General features: G+C 39.9%; 1 protein-coding gene across 30 annotated transcripts in view; it reads right to left on the reverse strand.

Annotated features, from left to right (window-relative positions):
• Nucleotides 1-19,501, reverse strand: part of ABI1 (abl interactor 1) — a 114,363-nt gene that overhangs the window by 70,118 nt on the left and 24,744 nt on the right. For all 30 annotated transcript variants that reach the window (NR_145410.2, XR_007061931.1, NM_001178125.2 and 27 more), the window contains one exon: nt 6,425-6,592. Coding sequence is in view for 28 of the 30 variants with exons in the window: in NM_001178125.2 (NP_001171596.1) it covers nt 6,425-6,592 (168 nt within the window). In the remaining 2 variants the exon portion in view is untranslated. The remainder of the gene's footprint in view (nt 1-6,424; nt 6,593-19,501) is intronic.

Below are 19,501 nucleotides of genomic sequence, written 5' to 3' on the forward strand. Positions count from 1 at the left end.
TCTCTATTCATTTATAACAAAAAGAGAGATTTTAATGTTTTGACAAAAAATTTTACAGATCACAGAACAACCATAATTTTACCCATTGACTAGTAAGATTGTTTTGTATACCTTGAGCATGCATCACCATTTTTTATAATCTCCAATAACCATGCAAAATAATCACTGCCTATACATAAAATGTACAGTGATCCTCTGGTTATAATCCATGTATAAGAATCAACTAAAAACTAGGTTCTATTATATTTTTCCTAAGTAATTTTGCAAAGACTTTGTGTGTGTGTGTGTGTGTGTGTGTGTGTGTGTGACGGAGTCTTACTCTGTCGCCCAGGCTGAGGTACACTGGTGGGATCTCAGCTCACTGCAACTTCTGCCTCCCGAGTTGAGGCGATTCTCCTGCCTTAGCCTCCTGAGTAGGTGGGATTACAGGTGCCTGCTAGCACGCCCGCCTAATTTTTGTATTTTTAGTAGAGACGGGGTTTCACCATGTTGGCCAGGCTGGTCTCAAACTCCTGACCTCAAATGATCCACTCACCTCAGCCTCCCAAAGTGCTGGGATTACAGGCCACCATGTCCGGCCAAGAGATTTATTTTAATTCAGTAAACACTGCAAACCAGTCATTTGCCAGACATTGTGCAAGTCCTCAAGAACCAGCATGAATCACTCTACACTAGATTCTGTTCTACAAAAAAAATTATTTTAGCAAAGTTCCAATCTATATCAATTTTGTCCTAAAATCTAAAAAGGCAACAGGATACCACCAAACATGAAAATAAGCTGGGCACAATGGCACATGTCCGTAGTCCCAGCTACTCAAGAAGCTGAGGTGGGAGGATCACTTGCGGATGGAGAGTTAGTGCTTAACAGGTACATTGTTTCAGTTTGGAAAAAGGAAAGAAGTTTTGGAGATGAATGGTGGTGATAATTACAAAACAATGTCAAGGTACTTAATGCCACTGTACACTTAAAAATGGTTGAATGATCAATTTTATCTTATGCATATTCTGCCACAATAATAAACAGGGATAAAAAGCAAAAATCTCTTTTAGATATACAAAAGCTGAAAGAACTCATCACCAGCAGAATAGAGCAACACTTCATGCTAAAGTATTCCAAGGGAATAAAAACCACCAAAACTCTGGGCTATAAAACAATTCCTGGCCGGGCACGGTGGCTCATGTCTGTAATCCCAGCACTTTGGGAGGCCGAGGCAGGCAGATCACTTGAGGTCAGGAGTTTGAGACCAGCCTGGCCAGCATGGTGAAATCCCATCTCTACTAAAACTACAAAAAAAAATAGCTGAGCATGGTGGCGCATGCCCGAAGTCCCAGCTACCCGGGAGGCTGAGGCAGGAGGATGGCTTGAACCCAGGAGGCAGAGGTTGCAGTGAGCCAAGATGGTGCCACTGCACTCCAGCTTGGGAGACAGAGCAAGACTCCATCTCAAAAAAAAAAAAAAAAAAAAAAAAAAAAAAAAAAAAATTCCTAACAAATTTGAAAGGACTCAAATCATATAATGTATATTTTCTGATCAGAAATAATAACTATGGGTAAATATAAAGGAATTAATTTCCTCATATTAAATCTCATTCAAAGCTAGTTGCTTTTCAAAACAAAAATAATGGCTAGGCACAGTGGCTCATGTCTGTAATCCCAGCACTTTAGGAGGCCAAGGCAGGCAGATCACTTGAGGTCAGGAGTTTGAAACCAACCTGGCCAACATGGTGAAACCCCGTCTCTACTAAAAATACAAAAATTAGCTGGCATGCACCTGTAATCCTAGCTACTCAGTAGGCTGAGACATAAGAATCACTTGAAACTGGGAAGGTGGGGTGGGGGAAGGCAGGGGCAAAGGTTGCAGTGAGGCAAGATCACGCCACTGCACTCCAGCCTGGACAACAAAGCGAGACCCCGTCACAAAAAAAAAAAAAAAAAAGAGCAAAGCATTGTGGGGTTTAAAACATACACAAAAAGAAAATGCGTGACACAAGCCAGGCGTGGCGACTTATACCTGTAATCTGTAATCCCAGTACTCTGGGAGACCGAGGTGGGTGGATCACGAGGTCAGGGGTTCAAGACCAACCTGGCCAAGATGGTGAAACCCTGTCTCTACTAAAAATACAAAAATTAGCCGGGCATGGTGGCGGGCACCCATAATCCCAGCTACTCACTCGGGAGGCTGAGACAGAGAATTGCTTGCACGTGGGAGGCAGAGGTTGCAGTGAGCCGAGATCGCACCACTGTACTCCAGCCTGGGTGACAGAGCGAGACTCCGTCTCAATAAAAGAAAAAAGAAAGTGCATGACACCAACAGCCCTAAGACAGGAGAGAAGTGGAATCAACTATTACAAAGTCTTAAACATACTCCTGAAGTAATAGCATAGTCTACCTTCAAGTGATATTAAAAAGTTTAAAGATGTTTACCAGAAGCCCTAAGGCAAACATGAATGAAATAATAAAAGAGAGAAGCAGAACAAAGTGTTACACCAAATCAGCACCCCCCCCAAAAAAAATTCACTCCATTAACACACAAGGAGGCAGAAAAAGAGGATAAAAGGAAAGCTGGAATGGTTGTATTCATATCAGACAAAGCAGATTTCTGAAGAATACTACCCAAGATAAAAAGAGGCTTTACAAAGATAAAGGGTCTATTCATCAAGTGGACCTAACAAGCCAAAGCATTTGTGTACCTAATATAGTATCACTTCAAAATACGTAACAGAAAAAAGACTAAAATGCAAAGAAAAATAGACATTCAGAATTATAGTTGGAGATTTCAATTTACCTTCCTTAATAATTGATAAAACAATTAGATAGAATCAGTAAAGATACAGAAGAATTGAATATTATCAACCAACTTGACTTAATGAGATTTATAGACATTCCACCTGACCAGAGAAAAATACACATTCTTCTCAAATGCACACAAAACATTTACCAAGACAGAGCATATTCTGGGATATATAACAATTCTTAATAAATATGAAAGGACTCACAGCATATAAAGTATTATTCAGAATAGCCAAGACACAGCATCAATCTAGGTGTCTATCAATGGATGAATAGGAAAATATGGGGGGGATATACATATACATTTATTTAAACAGACTACAATTCCTATTATTCAGCCTTAAAAAAGAAAATTCTGTTATTTGCAACATGACACAACAGATGAACCTGTAGGACCTTACAGTAAGTGAAATAAGCTAGGCGCAGACAGACAAACCCTGAATGATCTCCCTTTTTCAGATGTGGAATCTAAAAAAATCAAAGCTCACTGAAGCAGAGAGTAGAATGGTAGTTGTCAGAGACTAGGGGGTAAGGGAAATGGGGAGCTGTTGCTCAAAGGGTACAAAGTTTCAGCTATGCAGGATGAATAAGTTCTGGAGATCTAATGTACAGCATGATGACTATAGTTAATAATATAGGGTTGTAGACTTGAAATTTGCTAAAAGAGGAAATCTTAAATGCTCTCGCCACACACAAAAAAAGTAGCTGTGTGAGGTGATAGATATGCTAGTCAGCTTGATAGTGGTAATCATTTCACAATGTATATGTATATCAAAACATCACATTGTACATCTTAAATATATATGATTTTTGTGTCAATTATAACTCAATAAAGCTGCGGGGGAAAGCTACTTAATGAAAAAAAAATCAAATGAGGTGTATTTTTCTGACCAGTAAGAAATTAAATTAGAAAAATCAACAGCAGAAATATCCTTGCAAAACCTGAAAATACTTGCAAACTAAGCAACACATTTCCAATAACCCCTGGGTCAGAAAGAAATAAAAAAGCAAACTTAGAAATTATATTCAGCTAAATGAAAATGAAAGCATAACATATCTAAATGTATGAGATACAGCTAATGCACTTTTTTTTTTTTTTTTTGAGATAGAGTTTTGCTCTGTCACCCAGGCTGGAGTACAGTGGCGCGATCTCGGCTCACTGCAACCTCCGCCTCCCAGGTTGAAGTAATTTGCCTCAGCCTCCTGAGTGAGTAGCTGGGATTACAGGTGCCCGCCACCACGCCCGGCTAATTTTTGTATTTTTAGTAGAGACAGGGTTTCACCATCTTGGTCAGGCTGGTCTTGAACTCCTGACCTCATGATCCACCCACCTCGGCCTCCCAATAATACACTATTTAGAGGGACATTTACAGACCTAAACACCTATGTTAGAAAAGATTAAGGGTCTCAAGTAAATTAAATGACCTTGGCTTTCACCTTAATAAAGTATAAAATAAGGCTGGGTGTGGTGGCTCACACCTGCGATCCTAGCACTTCGGGAGGCCAAGGCAGGCAGATCACTTGAGCCCAGGAGTTTGAGACCAGCCTGGCCAACATGGTGAAACCCTGCCTCTACTAAAAATACAAAAAAGTTCACTGGGCGTGGTGAGGTGCACCTGTAATCCCAGCTACTCAGAAAGGTAAGGCACAAGAAAGGCTTGAACCTGAAAGATGGAGGTTGCAGTGAGCCGAGATCATGCCACTGCACACCAGCCTGGGCATCAGAGCAAGACTCCATCTAAAAAAAAAAAAAAAAGTATAAAATAAGAGCAAATCAATCCCAAGGTAAGGAAAAGAAAAAGAAATAATAAAGATCAGAATGGAAATCAATGCAACAGAAAACAAAAACATAGAAAATTAATAAGGCCAAAGATGTTTTTAATATCGATAAAGTTGGTAAACTAGCCATAATGATTAGTTTAAAAAAGAAAGATGACACCAATTACCAATATGAAGAATGAGCAATGTGAAATTATTATAGATTCTACAGATATTTTTAAAATAAGAGATTAGGCAGGGTGCTGTCGCTCAAGCATGTAATCCCAACACTTTGGGAGGCCAAGGTGGGTGGATCACTTGAGATCAGGAATTCAAGACCAGCCTGGCCAACATGGCAAAACCCCGTCTCTACTAAAAATACAAAAAATTAGCCAGGCGTGGTGGCGAGCGCCTGTAATTCTAGCTACTTGGGAGGCTGAGGCAGGAGAATTGCTTGGACCCAGGAGGCGAAGGATGCAGAGAGCCAAGATCACGCCATTGCACTCCAGCCTGGGCAACAGAGCAAGACTCTTGTCTCAAAAAAAAAAAAAAACAAAGCAGGAGGATTATTATAAATGTTTTATGCAAATAAATCTGTCAATTTAGGTGAAATAGCTAAATTCCTAGAAAGATAAAAAGCTCACTCAAGGAAAAACAAATAAACAGAATAGGCTTGTATCCACAAAGGAAATTAAATATGTAGTTAAAATCCTTTTCACCAGGAACACTCCAGGTCCAGATGGAATACTGCCCATTACAGTCAATAAAACCAGCATTACACTGACACCAAAACCAGACAAAGGCATTACAAGAAAACCACAGCCCAACAGCACTCAAGAGTACAGAAACAAAAATTCCTAATACACACACAAACCAATGTAATTCACCATATTAATAGACATATATATATATACATACACACACATATATATGATCATTTCAACAAATGCAAAGAAGCGTTTGATAAAATTCACCACCCATTCCTGATAAGAACACTCAGCAAACTAAGACTAAGTGGTATAACCACTTTGAAAAACAATTTGGTAGGTTCTTCTAAAGTGAAACAGACACCTACCACATGACCTCTCCATTCTGCACAGAGGTACTTACCCAAAAGAAATAAAAGCATATGACCACACAAAGATTTGCATACAAATGTTTTCATAGGATTTGTAATAGCCAAAACCTAAAAACAACCCAGATTTCCATCAACATGTGAACACATAAACAAAATGTGTAACAATAGAAACTACTCAGCAATAAAAGAGTGAACTACTTTTACATGCAAAAACATGAATGAATCTCAAAATAATTATCCATAGTAAAACATGCCAGACCAAAAAAAAAATTAGTAAATACTATATGATTCCATTTATATAAAAATTTAGAAAATGTAAACTAATCTCTAGGGACAGAAACCCTAAGGACAAGGGACAAGAGGGAGGGATTACGTAGGAGAATGAAGAAATTTGGCAGGGGGAAAGGGGATGGTTCATTATCTTGAATGTGTTGATGGTCACATGGGTATACATGTGTGTCAAAACTTATAAAAATTCTGTTCTTTATGTACAAATAACTTTACGTCAGAAAAGCTCTTAACAGTAGGACAGTGGTGACAGTTGTACAATGTGAATGTACTTAATGCTACTGAATTATACACTTAAAAATGGTTAAAATGGTCAATTTTATGTTATGTTTACCTTATCATGATAAAAAAAGGACTAAAAGAAAAACAGCAGGTTTACCAAACTAAAACAGTGTTAATGATTATCACCAGTAAGATGAGTCAGAAATCCATACATGCAGGCTATTTACTTCTTTGGCATATGCTGTAGTTTTTTTTAAATTGAATTTAAAGCATTTTATAAGCTGTTACCTGTGAGATATGATTGATGGAAGACTCCATTCTCCGAAGCTGAGAGGCTTGGATATCCAGCAACTGGAGTACATTGTTGGCCAATGCATTTATTTGATAAGCAACACTAGCTAGAGATTGGGTTGTATAGGCTTTGGTCTCCTCTAAAGCTTTTCTCTTGTCTGTAGCCTGAAATAAGAACAAAAACAACAAATACTTATTTAGATTAACATTCATTAAATATATATTCTATAGAAAGGCAAAGTTATATTATTTTACTAGAGAAATTCAATAAAAAAAAACTCACTGTACCAATATGATAGTCTCAGGATACTACTGAATTAAGCCATGGCAGAAATCCCTATGTGCCAGCTGGGAACCACTCTCTCCTGAGTAGCTCATCCACTAAAGGGGCCACTAACTGTAGTCACAGTATCAGAGACACACTGCACCAACTGGTTCTCCTTGCCTAGACCCTTTCCATCACCAATTCACTGCATTACATCATAAGGACTTTACTGTCAGCCTCAAGCTCCCAATCCACTTACAATGAAATGGACTAAATCCAATCTGCCTTATATTCCTGTGTCCACTAACCACCATCGGAAATCCAACTTCCTTGTTATCTATGATGATTCAAGCCTATCATGCCCCACAAAAACTACTGTGAATCTTATGTGCTCCAATTCCTTACCCACCCCTTCTTCCCAAACTCCTATAGATAACTCAGAAGGCAAGAACTCCTCAAAGAGGAGCAAGGTTAAAAGGTGACAAACTGTAGGTGGGTAAGAAGGGGAATCAACAACTTACACCACAAAGAGTAAATATCACTAACATATAATCTAAAAATGAAAAAAAAAAAGGCTATCCTAGCTACCTACAACTTCAGGAAAATCATTTATTTCTCCAGGTATCAGTGTCATGAACTCAGAGACTAAACAAAATGGTCTCACGTCCCTTCCAGTTCTACACAGAAAAAAAAAATGGAACAGAGATCTAACAGAAAGCTCACCAAAAAAGCAATGGAACCACTCTTAACCACTGAAAAGATGTTCAACCTCACTCATTATAGGAAAGAAATGCAAGTGCAAACCAATATGAGATACTATTTCTCATTCACCCAAATGACAAATATACAAAAGTCTGACAAGACACTCAGCAAAGCTGTGAGAAAAAACTCTGATGCACTGGTAAGTGATATCCAGCAATATTACACACAGATTTACTTTCTGACCCAGTAAGCTCACTTTTAGGAATGTATCTCAAAAAATCACTGGCAAAAATACAAAACCATATGTACACAGTTATTCACTGCAGCACTATCTATAATAGCAGAAGACTGGAAACAACCCATATAACTATCAATAGGAGACTGTTTGAATAAGCTATAATATCTCCACACAATAGAGTATTATACTGCCATAATAAGGACAAGGAATTCAAGGAATTTCTCTGTTACCATGACTCCATGATCTCCAGAATATTGCTAAGGTGAAAAAAAAAATGTGGGAAAAAATGTGTATAATATGCTACTTCTTAACAGAGGGAAATATGAAAATGCATGTTTTTTTAAAGGAAAAACAAACCTTGGCATTAAAAAAAAAATCACATACAGGAGGAGAGGTAATAAATAGGATAGAGAAAACATGGACAGTAGATAGAATCCCTTAAGCATATCTTGTTTCACAGATTTCTCTTTGGAACTACATACAGGCACACTGCAAAGATACTGCGGTTTTGGCTAGAGACAGTGTATATATAAAAGTTATGTTTATATTATGCTGTAGTCTATTAAATGTGCGATAGTACTATGTCTAAAAAAACTAGGTACATGCCTTAATTAAAAATACTTTATTGCTTAAAACAGAATGCTAACCATCTTCAGAGCCTTCAGAGAGTCCTAATATTTGTGTGCTGGTGGAGGGCTTTGCCTCCATATTGATGGCTGCTGACTGATCAGGGTGGGATTTTTGAAGGTTGGGGTAGCTGGGGCAATTTCTTAAAATAAGACAACAATGAAATTTGCTGCATCTATTGACTTTTGTTTTAACAAGATTTCTCTATGGCATGCGATATTTGATAGCATTTTACCCTCAGTAGAACTTCTTTCAAAACTGAAATCAAGCCTGGGTGTGGTGGCGGCTTGTACCTGCAATCCTGGCCAGTTGGGAGACTGAGGCAGGAGAATTGCTTAAGCCCAAGAGTTTGAGGACAGCCTGGGCAACACAGTGAGACCCTGTCTCTGAAAAAAAAATTTTTTTTGGCCGGGTGCCATGGCTCACGCCTGTAATCCCAGCACTTTGGGAGGCTGAGGCGGGAGGATTACCTGAGGTCAGGAGTTCGAGATCAGCCTGGTCAACATGGTGAAACCCTGTCTCTACTAAAAATACAAAAAATAGCTTGGCATGGTGGTATGTGCCTGTAATCCCAGCTACTTGGGAGGCTGAGGCAGGAGAATCGCTTGAGCCCAGGAGCCAGAGGTGGCAGTGAGCTGAGACCGTGCCACCGTACTCCAACCTGGGCAACAAGAGCAAAACTCTGTCTCAAAAATAAATAAGTAAATAAAATTTTAATGAGTCAATCCTTTCAAGCACTACCGATGCTTTATCAACTAAATTTATGTAATATTCCAAATCCTTTGTTGTCATTTCAACAAGGTTCACAGCGTCTTCAGCAGGAGTAGATTCTATCTCAAGAAACTATTTCCTTTGTTCACCTATAAGGAACAACTCATCCATTCAAGTTTTCTTGTGAGATTGCAGCCACTTCTTCGGGCTCCAATTCTAATTCTCATTAGTTCTCTTGCTGTTCCCACCATATCTGCAGTTACTTCCTCCACTGAAGTCTTGAACCCCTCAGCATCATCCATGAGGGCTGGAATCAACTTCTTCCAAAATCCTGTTAATGTTGATATTCTGACCTCCTCCCATGAATTACTAATGTTCCTAATGGCATCCAGAATGGTGAATCCTTTCCAGAAAGTTTTCAATTTACTTTTCCCAAGTTCATCAGAGGAATCACTATCTAAGGCAGCTATAGCCTTACAAAATGTATTTCTTAAATAGTAAGATTGGAAAGTCAAAATTACTCTATGGGGCTGCAAAATAAGTATGTGTTAGCAGGCATGAAAACAACATTAATCTCCTTATACATCACCATCTTAGATGACTAGGTGCACTGTCAATGAGCAGTAATATTTTGAATGGAATCTTTTTATCCGAGCAGGTCTCAACAGTTGGCTTAAAAGATTCCATAAACCATGCTGTAAACAGATATGCTGTCATCCAGGCTTGGTTGTTCTGGTTAAAGAGCACAAGCAGAGCAGATTCAGCATAATTCTAAAGGGCCTTAGGATTTTCAGCATGGCAAATGAGCACTGGATTCAACTTAAAGTCACCAGCTGCATTAGCCCCTAACAAGAGAGTCAGCCTAGCCTTTGAAGGCCAGGCATGGGCTTCTCCTCTCTCCCTGTAAAAGCCCTAGACGGCATCTTCTCCCAATAGAAGACTGTTTCGTCTACATGGAAAATCTGATATTAAGTGTAGCAACCTTCGATAATCTTAGCTAGATCTTCTGGGTAACTTGCTGCAGCTTCTACATCAGCACTTGCTGCTTTACCTTGCACTTTCACGTTATAGAGATGGCTGCTTTCCTTAAACCTCATGAACCCGCTGGCTTCCAACTTTTCTTCTATAGCTTTCTCACCTCACCTCTCTCAGCCTTCACAGAACTGAACAGTTAGGGCCTTGTTCTGAATTAGGCTTTGGCTTAAGGGAATATTGTGGCTAGTTTGATTTTTTTTTTTTTTCTTTTTTGAGACGGAGTCTCGCTCTGTTGCTCAGGCTGGAGTGCAGTGGCACAATCTTGGCTTACTGCAACTTCCACCTCCCAGGTTCAAGAGATTCTCCTGCCTCAGCCTCCCAAGTAGCTGGGACTACAGGCACGAGCCACCATGCCTGCCTAATTTTTTGTATTTTTAGTAGAGACAGGATTTCATCATGTTGTCCAGGCTGGTCTTGATCTCCTGACCTCATGATCCACCAGCCTCGGCCTCCCAAAGTGCAAGGATTACAGGCGTGAGCCACCGTGCCCGGCCTGGTTTGACCTTCTTTTTTTTTATCTCGAGACAGAGTCTCACTCTGTCGCCCAGGCTGGAGTGCAGTGGCGTGATCTCGGCTCACCGCAAGCTCCTTCTCCCAGGTTCATGCCATTCTCCTGCCTCAGCCTCCCAAGCAGCTGGCACTATAGGTGCCTGCCACCACACCTGGATAATTATTTGTATTTTTAGTAGAGATAGGGTTTCACCATGTTAGCCAGGATGGTCTCGATCTCCTGACCTTGTGATCCATCCACCTCCGCCTCCCAAAATGCAGGGGAATTACAGGTGTGAGCCACCACGCCCAGCCTGGTTTGACCTTCTATCCAGACCACTAAAACTTTCTCCCTATCAGCAATAAGGCTTTTCACTTTCTGTTTTTTGTTTTTTTTTTTTTTGAGATGGAGTCTTGCTCTGTCACTCAGGCTGGAGTGCAATGGAGTGATCTCGGCTCACTGCAAACTCTGCCTGCTGGGTTCAAGCAATTCTCCTGCCTCAGCTTCCCAAGTAGCTGGGACTACAGGCATAAGCCACCATGCCCAGGTATTTTTTGTATTTTTAGTAGAGACAGGGTTTTGCCATGCTGGCCAGGCTGGTCTTGAACTCCTGTCCCTTGTGATTCCACCCACCTCAGCCTCCCAAAGTGCTGGGATTACAGGCGTGAGCCACCGCACCCGGCCAGCTTTTCTCTTTCTTATGATTCATGTGTTCAGTGGACTAGCCCTTTTAATGTCCTTCAAGAACTTTTCCTTTGCATTCACAACTTAGCTAAAGTTTGCAGCAAGAGGCTTAACGTTTGGCCTATCTCAGCTTTTGACTTGCCTTCCTCGCTAAGCTCCCATTAGTAGTTTTTTATTTTAAATGAGAAACACGCAATTCTTTCACTTGAACACTTAGAGGCCAACATAGGGTTATGAATTGGCCCAATTTCAATATTGTTGCATCTCAGGCAATAGGGAGGCCCAAAGAGAGGGAGAGACAGAAGGAATGGTCAGTTGGTGGTACAGTCAGAACATACAACAATTACTAAGTTCACCATCTCACATGAGTGCAGTTTGTGGTGCCCCAAAACGATTACAGTAATAACATCGAATATCACCATAACAGATACAGTAATAATAAAAAGGTTTGAAATATTTTAAGAATTACCAAAATATGACAGAGACATGCAAAGTAAGCACATGCCCTTAGAAAAACGGCACCAACACTTGCTCGATGCAAGGTTGCCAGAAACCTTCAATTTGTAAAACACGCAGTCTGCAAAGCGCAGTAAAGCAAAGCACAATAAAGAGAAGCATGCCTGTAAATAATTCACACAATTATAAAATAAAATTTAAATTTAAAAAGGAATTACCCCAAAGTAAAGGTAAATTAATCAAATGAGCCTAACTGTGCATCCAATTAGTGGCCTAAACCAGAGAGAAACCACTCTACAAGTGGCTTCAAAGCACAGTAATTCGAATGTACATTCTTAATAGGATTTACCATTAGAATAAAAGTAATTGAAAGAGGGGAAGGAAAAACTGAAATTGTTTTTAGTCTCTTTATTGCTGGTGTTAATACTGAAATTATTACCGATACTGTTATTTGCATAGGGTGGGATATAGCAAATCATTAATTATGTCACTGAGAACTGAAATTTGGGGCATGGTTCAAAATAGATTTTGACATAAGAAAATCCAGGTTAAGAAAGAATCCTTTAGTTCTAGATTTAAACTAAAAGCACCAGTTTAGCCGGGCGCGGTGGCTCACGCCTGTAATCCCAGCACTTTGGGAGGCCAAGGCGGGCGGATCACGAGCTCAGGAGATCGAGACCATCCTGGCTAACACGGTGAAACCCCATCTCTACTAAAAATACAAAAAATTAGCCGGGCGCAGTGGCAGGCGCCTGTAGTCCCAGCTACTCGGGAGGCTGAGGCAGGAGAATGGCGTGAACCTGGGAGACGGAGCTTGCAGTGAGCCCAGATCGCGCCACTGCACTCCAACCTAGGTGACAGAGCGAGATTCTGTCTCAAAAAAAAAAAAAAAGCACCAGTTTAAACCTAAAATGTATTTATCACATCATAATATCCCAGCTCTGTCCAATGAAAAGATCTAAGAATAAAGACTGTCTAGCAGCCATGGAGCACCACCTATAATCCGTATAGTGATGCACCTAAAACAGGCTGTGTATCAAAAGGTACCTGGTTACAATTTGGTGACTATAGTTAATAATAACTTATTGTATACTTGAAAATTGCTGAGAGTAAATTTTAAGGTTCTCACCACAAAAAGAAACTTTGTGAGGCAATGTATGTTAATTAGCTTAACTTAGACATTCCACAATGTATGCACATTTCAAAAAATATTGTACATCATAAATATACACAATTTTTATATGTCAATTTTAATAAATAAACAACAAAACAAAAAAGCCACCGAGGAATTTTCTAGGGTCATGTCAAAAGGACTCAATGTAAGGATCAATGAGGATCATAACTTCAATGGAATGAAACACACAAAATGTTTACATTTAAGACTTCATAACAATATTAAAAAGATAAAAACAAACCAAAAAGTCACTAGCGACTTTTGTAGGATGCTATGGATCACCTCATTTTTTTCTTGGATGAGGAAGGGAGGTCAGCATTAATATTAAGTACGAAATGCATACATTAAAATTTAAAAATTTTCAGTGTACAATTCAATGTGCTTTGATAAATGGGTACAGTAGTATAACCACCATGATAAAGAACATTTCCCTCATAACTCCCTCCCCATCCTCCGGACCCTGGAAACCACTGACTTCCTTTCTGTCACAACAGTTTTGCCTTTTCTAGAGTTTCATATAAATAGAATTGAAAGCTACAGTCTTCTGTATCTGGCTTCTTCCACTTAGCAGAATGCCCTTAAGATTCATCCTTGTTACCGCTAAGTAGTGTTCTATTGTATGGATGTATCCTAATTTGTTTCTCCATTTATCAGCTGATGGACATTTGGGTTGTTTCCAGTTCTGGGCTACTAAGAATATTTGAGTAGAAGGTCTTGTGTGGAGGTATGTTTTCATTTCTTTTGGGTAATACCTAAAGATACAACTGCTGAGTCACATGGTAAGTTAAGTGTATATTTAACATTGTAAGAAACTACCAGTTGGGCATGGGGGCTCATGACTGTAATCTCAGCATTTTGGGAGGTCATGGCGAGAGGACTGCTTAAGCTCAGGAGTTCGAGACCAGCCTGAGCAACATAGTGACACCCTGTCTCTACAAAAATAAAAAATCAGATAGGCCTGGTGGCTTATGCCTGTGGTCCCAGCTACTTGGGAGCTTGAGGTGGGAGGATCAGTTGGGCCAGGGAGGTTGAGGCTGCAATGAGCTGTGATTGCACCACTACACTCCAAGCCTGAGCAACAGAACAAGACCCTGTCTCCTTTAAAAAAAAAAAAAAAAACAAAACTACCAAACTATTTTACAAAGAAACAGAAACAACATTATTTGGCATTCTCACTAGAAACTTATGAAAATTCTAGTGCTCCACATCCTTGCCAACACTTGGTATGGTCAGTCTTTTTAATTTTAAATATTCTAGTAGGTATATAGTGGTATCTCATTATGGTTTTAATTTCCATTTTGCTATCAAATCATAATGTTTTCAAGTGCTTGTGCAGCATCCATTTCTTCATTGATAAAATGTTCAAATATTTTGCCCATTTTTTTAATTTTAAAGACAGTGTCTTTCTCTGTACCCAAGGCTGGAATGCAGTGGCACGATCATAGTTCACTGCAGCCTTGATCTCCTGGGTTCAACTGATCCTCCCACCTCAGCCTCCTGAGTTGCTGGGACTGATAACAGTCTAATAACCCCACTTAGATAACAAAACAAGGGTCCCATGTGCATTTTTTTAAGTTTTCTACCATTTTGTTTCCATGTCTTTAACTCTCCTCCCATTCCTTCTAGAAATGTCACATCTGTCACAACATATTTGTCTTTTATAGCTTTTAACTTATCTCTAATCCAAACCTATACCCAAATTTCTCCAACTTCCAAAAAAAAAAAATACAAAACATGTGGCTGGGCATGGTGGTTCACATCTGTAATCCCAGCAGTTTGGGAGGCCCAGGCAGGTGGATGGCTTAAGGTCAGGAGTTCAAGACCAGACTGGCCAGCATGGTGAAACCCCATCTCTACTAAAAATACAAAAATTAGCCAGGAGTGGTCGCAGGCACCTGTAATCCCAGCTACTCGGGAGGCTGAGGCGTAAGAATCACTTGGACCCAGGAGGCGGAGCTTGCAGTGAGCCGAGATAGTGCCACTGCACTCCAGCCTGGGCGACAAAGCGAGACTCTGTCTCAAAGGAAAAAAAAACCTCTTTACGTATGTTTTATTTTATTCCATATGATCTAAGATCTAATCAAAGATTGTTCATAGCTGTTAACAGTCATATTTCTATTTCATATCCTTAAATACAGAACACACTCCCAATCCTGACCCTTTTCTCCTTTCAAAACATAGAAATTATTTTTTAAATCCAGGTATCTTGTAAAAAAAATCCTACAACCTGGATTCATCTGATTGTTTCCTCATGATTAGATTCAGATTGAACATTGTGTCAAGAATACTATATATTAATAGCTGATGCTGTGAACTTCCCCTTACAAATAATGGAACATCTAAAATAACGTTGCACAGCTATTTCCAGAGTTTTCTTCCCATCATTTTCTTCCAAGCTGCCAACACCAATTCTGCAAACGCTGATGAAGCTAATTTATTGATTTTACCAGAAGATGTCAAAAAAATGTTTTACAACAAAAACTTGGCTTCTATCCTATCCTCAAATGGTCCTTAAATGGTTTGTTGTTCAAAAGGTTACGGGTGCAATAATCCAGTTAAGCCACAAGGAAAAACAACCAAATTCACATAAGCACAAACAATGACAAATATGCCATGACCGCTGACTGGCTGATGACTTTTTAAGGACATGATTACTTGTAAAGTGTTTCCCAATTTCAGAGATACTAAGTAGGGGAGGGGCAGTTACTAGAATTCATGAAATACAGTATATAAGAAACACTTCTCAATTTAACGGCCTTTTAAAAAATAAAGTATGTTGGCCGGGCGCAGTGGCTCACTCCTGTAATCCCAGCACTTTGGGAGGCCAAGGCGGGCGGATCACGAGGTCAGGAGATCAAGACCATCCTGGCTAACACAATGAAACCCTATCTCTATTAAAAAATACAAAAAAATTAGCTGGGAATGGTGGCGGGCGCCTGTAGTCCCAACTACCTGGGAGGCTGAGGCAGAAGAATGGCGTGAACCCAGGAGGCGGAGCTTGCAGTGAACCGAGATCACGTCACTGCACTCCAGCCTGGGTGACAAAGTGAGACTCCATCTCAAAAAATAAAATAAAATAAAATAAATAAATAAATAATGTATGTTAACACCAATGGAAAGGATTTTAAATCTCAGGTTTTAATACCTGTTGCAGGAATAATTTTATACACTATGAAGTACACAAAAACTAACATCTACTTTGCTGAAGGCCAACAAACGGGCTGGTTGGTTAGAGACCTGAGAAACCTTCCAGGAAGAATCCATAATCACTCTGTGGGGAGAGATGAGAGGATCAGGGAAAAAAGAGCACATGGGCCAAATGCTGGTTCATTACTGACAAATAATCTATTAAGTACAGAGTCATGGGGACTAGGGCATACATATATGCAATGCCTAGCTACCACTAAAAGGATCTAATTTTCTCCAGCAGAACGCCTATTCCAATAAAAGTGAAAACTAAAAAGAAATCCTACCAGGTTATGGCAAGTATCCAGCAAAAAAAATAAATTTTTTGCATGACAATTCAGGTTGAGACCTTTCATTATAAGCTTTAACACAGCCCCTCCCTACCACCTCCCACTTAAGCAACTACTAAGAGGTCTGGAAGCCCATTCATTCCCAGCAACATCTAGGGAAGCCTCTGCTGCCTGTGGTGTCACACAGTTGTGACTGACAGGAATGCCAGTTGGGGCATACTCTCTTCTTTAACGGGAGAGCTACACAGAACAATCAACTGCTAGCATACTTACTCAGTATACAGAATTCCAAGTTTAACTATAATGTAGAATATTTTTAAGCCTTTTCGATTCAATCTGTATCCCCAGGGTATTCCCAATAACTAGATAATTAGCCTCTGAAATTTTAAGTTTTACCACAGCTATAGCCTAAGACAATGACGCTTTCCCCAAACTCTTTTACCATCCTACACCATACTACAAGGCTTACATTTCAAAAACAGTCTTAATGCAAAACCTGAAAAACCCCAGCTCTAGAAAGAACTACATTTCAACACATAATCTGTTATATACTTAAGTATTACTAATAGAAAATAGCTCTATTAGTCCAAAACATTTGCTTCCTTCCATTAACTCCTTCCATGTTAACAAGTTATCTTCTCATATAATTTTAATTCTTCTTAAAAGGAATTATATAGCAAGAGCCATGATGATCAAGAATATAGCTTGGGCAAATACTCTCACGTACTACTAAAAAAAATACAATCAGATAATGTATATCACAATATTTATACACACACACACACACACACACACTTCATTACAAGAAATTCACCCAAAAGACATAAATGGCCAAATGCAAAAAATCTGTATGTTCAAGGATATTCATGCCACCTTTATTTACAACACCAAAAAAACTAGAAGAGATCTAAATAGCCAATGACAAATTATTAAAAAATTAATATACTGGGGCCGGGCACAGTGGCTCATGCCTGTAATCCAGCACTTTGGAAGGCCAAAGTGGGTGGATCACCTGAGGTCAGGAGTTTTGAGACCAGCCTGGCCAACATGGTGAAACCCCAGCTCTGCTAAAAAAACAAAAATTAGCCGGGCGTGGTGGTACACGCCTGTAATCCCAGCTACTCAGGAGGGTGAGGCAGGAGAATCGCTTGAACCCGGAAGGTGGAGGTTGCAGTGAGCTGAGACCACGCCACTGCACTCCAGCCTGGGCGACAGAGCGAGATTCCATCTCAAAAATACAAAAAAGAAAAAAAATTAATATACTGGAATATCATCTAGTCAATAAAAATGACAACCTCAAAAAGCACAGGCAACAAAGCAAAGTCAAATGGAATTACATAAAGCTAAAAAGCTCCTGCACAAGAAAGGAAACAATCAACAAAGTAAAACGACAACCCATAGATGGAAGAAAATATTTGCAAACTATCCATCTGACACAGGACCAACAACCAGAATATATAAGGAGCTCATACAATGCAATGGCAAAAAAACAAATAATCCAAAAGGAAAATGGCAAAAGATCTGGACAGATACTTCTCAAGACATACAAAACACACACACACACACACACACACACACACACACACACACACACACAAAAGAAGACATACGAATGGCAAACAGGTATGTGAAAAAATATTCAACATCATTAATCAGAGAAACACAAATCAAAACCACAATGCAACAGACCAGGCACGGTGGCTCACGCCTGTAATCCCAGCACTTTGGGAGGCCAAGGCAGGCGGATCACCTGAGGTCAGGAGTTCGAGACCAGCCTAGGTAACATAGTGAAACCCTGTCTCTACTAAAAATACAAAAATTAAGCCGGGCACAGTAGCTCATGCCTGTAATCCCAGCACTTTGGGAGGCCGAGGCGGGCAAATCACTTGAGGTCAGGACTTTGAGAACAGCCTGGCCAACATGGTGAAATCCCATCTCTACTAAAAATACAAAAATTAGTCAGGTGTGGTGGCACTCACCTGTAATCCCAGCTACTCAAGAGGCTGAGGCATGACAATCACCTGAACCGAGAGGCAGAGGCTGCAGTGCCACTGCACTCCAATGTGGGCAACTGAGCAAGATTCTACCTCAAAAAAAAAAAAAAAAAAAAAAAAAAACCCACAATGCAATATCATCTCACCCCCAGTTAAAATGGCTTATATCAAAAAGACAGGCAATAAAAGATGCTAGAGAGGACATGGAGAAAGGGGAATACCCATACCCTGTTGGTTGAAATGTAAATTAGTACAGTCATTATGAAGAACAATATGAAGATTCCTCAAAAAACTAAAATTAGTCAGGCACAATGGCACACACCTGTAATTCCAGCAATTTGTGAGGCCCAAGTGGGAGGATCACTTGAGTTCAGGAGTTCAAGACCAGCCTGAGCAGCACAGCAAGACCTCGTCTCTACAAAAAATTTAAAAATTAGCAGGGTGTGGTGGTGCACACCTGTGGTCCCAGCTACTTGGGAGGCTAAGATGGAAGGATCACTTAAGCCCAGAAGGTTGAGGCTGCAGTAAGCCATGATCACACCACTGCATTTCAGCCTCGGTGAAAGAGTTAGACCCTGTCTCCAAAGGAAAAAAAAAAAATTATTCTATACCTAATTTTAAATACACACACACACACACACACAAATGTTCTAAAAGGAAATATATTGATACATGAGTGGTTATTTCTGAGTTGTGAGATATGGGTAATTTTTAATATTCTATTTTTCTGTATCCAACTTTTTCAACAACCATTACTTGAAGGGAAAAAAATATTTTTACTAATATTTTTTTTTTTTTTTTGAGACTGGGTCCAGGCTAGAGTGCAGTGGCTCAATTATGGCTCACTGCAGCCTTGAAATCCTGGGCTCAAGGGATCCTCCCAAGTAGCTGGCACTACAGGCGCATGCCACCATGTCTGGCTAACTTTTTTTGCATTTTTTGTAAAGTTGGGGTCTCACCATGTTGCCCAGGCTGGTCTCGAACTCCTGAACTCAAAGAATCCTCCTGCCTCAGCCTCCTAAACTGCTAGGATTACAAGCATGAGCCACTGTGCCCAGCCTATTTTTACTGAGAATTTTAATGACATGGATAATTCTCTTGATAGTATCTTTTTTTGTTGTTTGTTTTTTGTTTTTTTGAGACACAGTCTTGCTCTGTCACCCAGGCTGCAGTGTAGTGGCGCAATCTCAGCTCAATGCAACCTCCACCTCCCAGGTTCAAG

The sequence above is a fragment of the Homo sapiens genome, chromosome 10 (genome assembly GCF_000001405.40).
Source record: "Homo sapiens chromosome 10, GRCh38.p14 Primary Assembly".
NCBI lineage: Eukaryota > Metazoa > Chordata > Mammalia > Primates > Hominidae > Homo > Homo sapiens.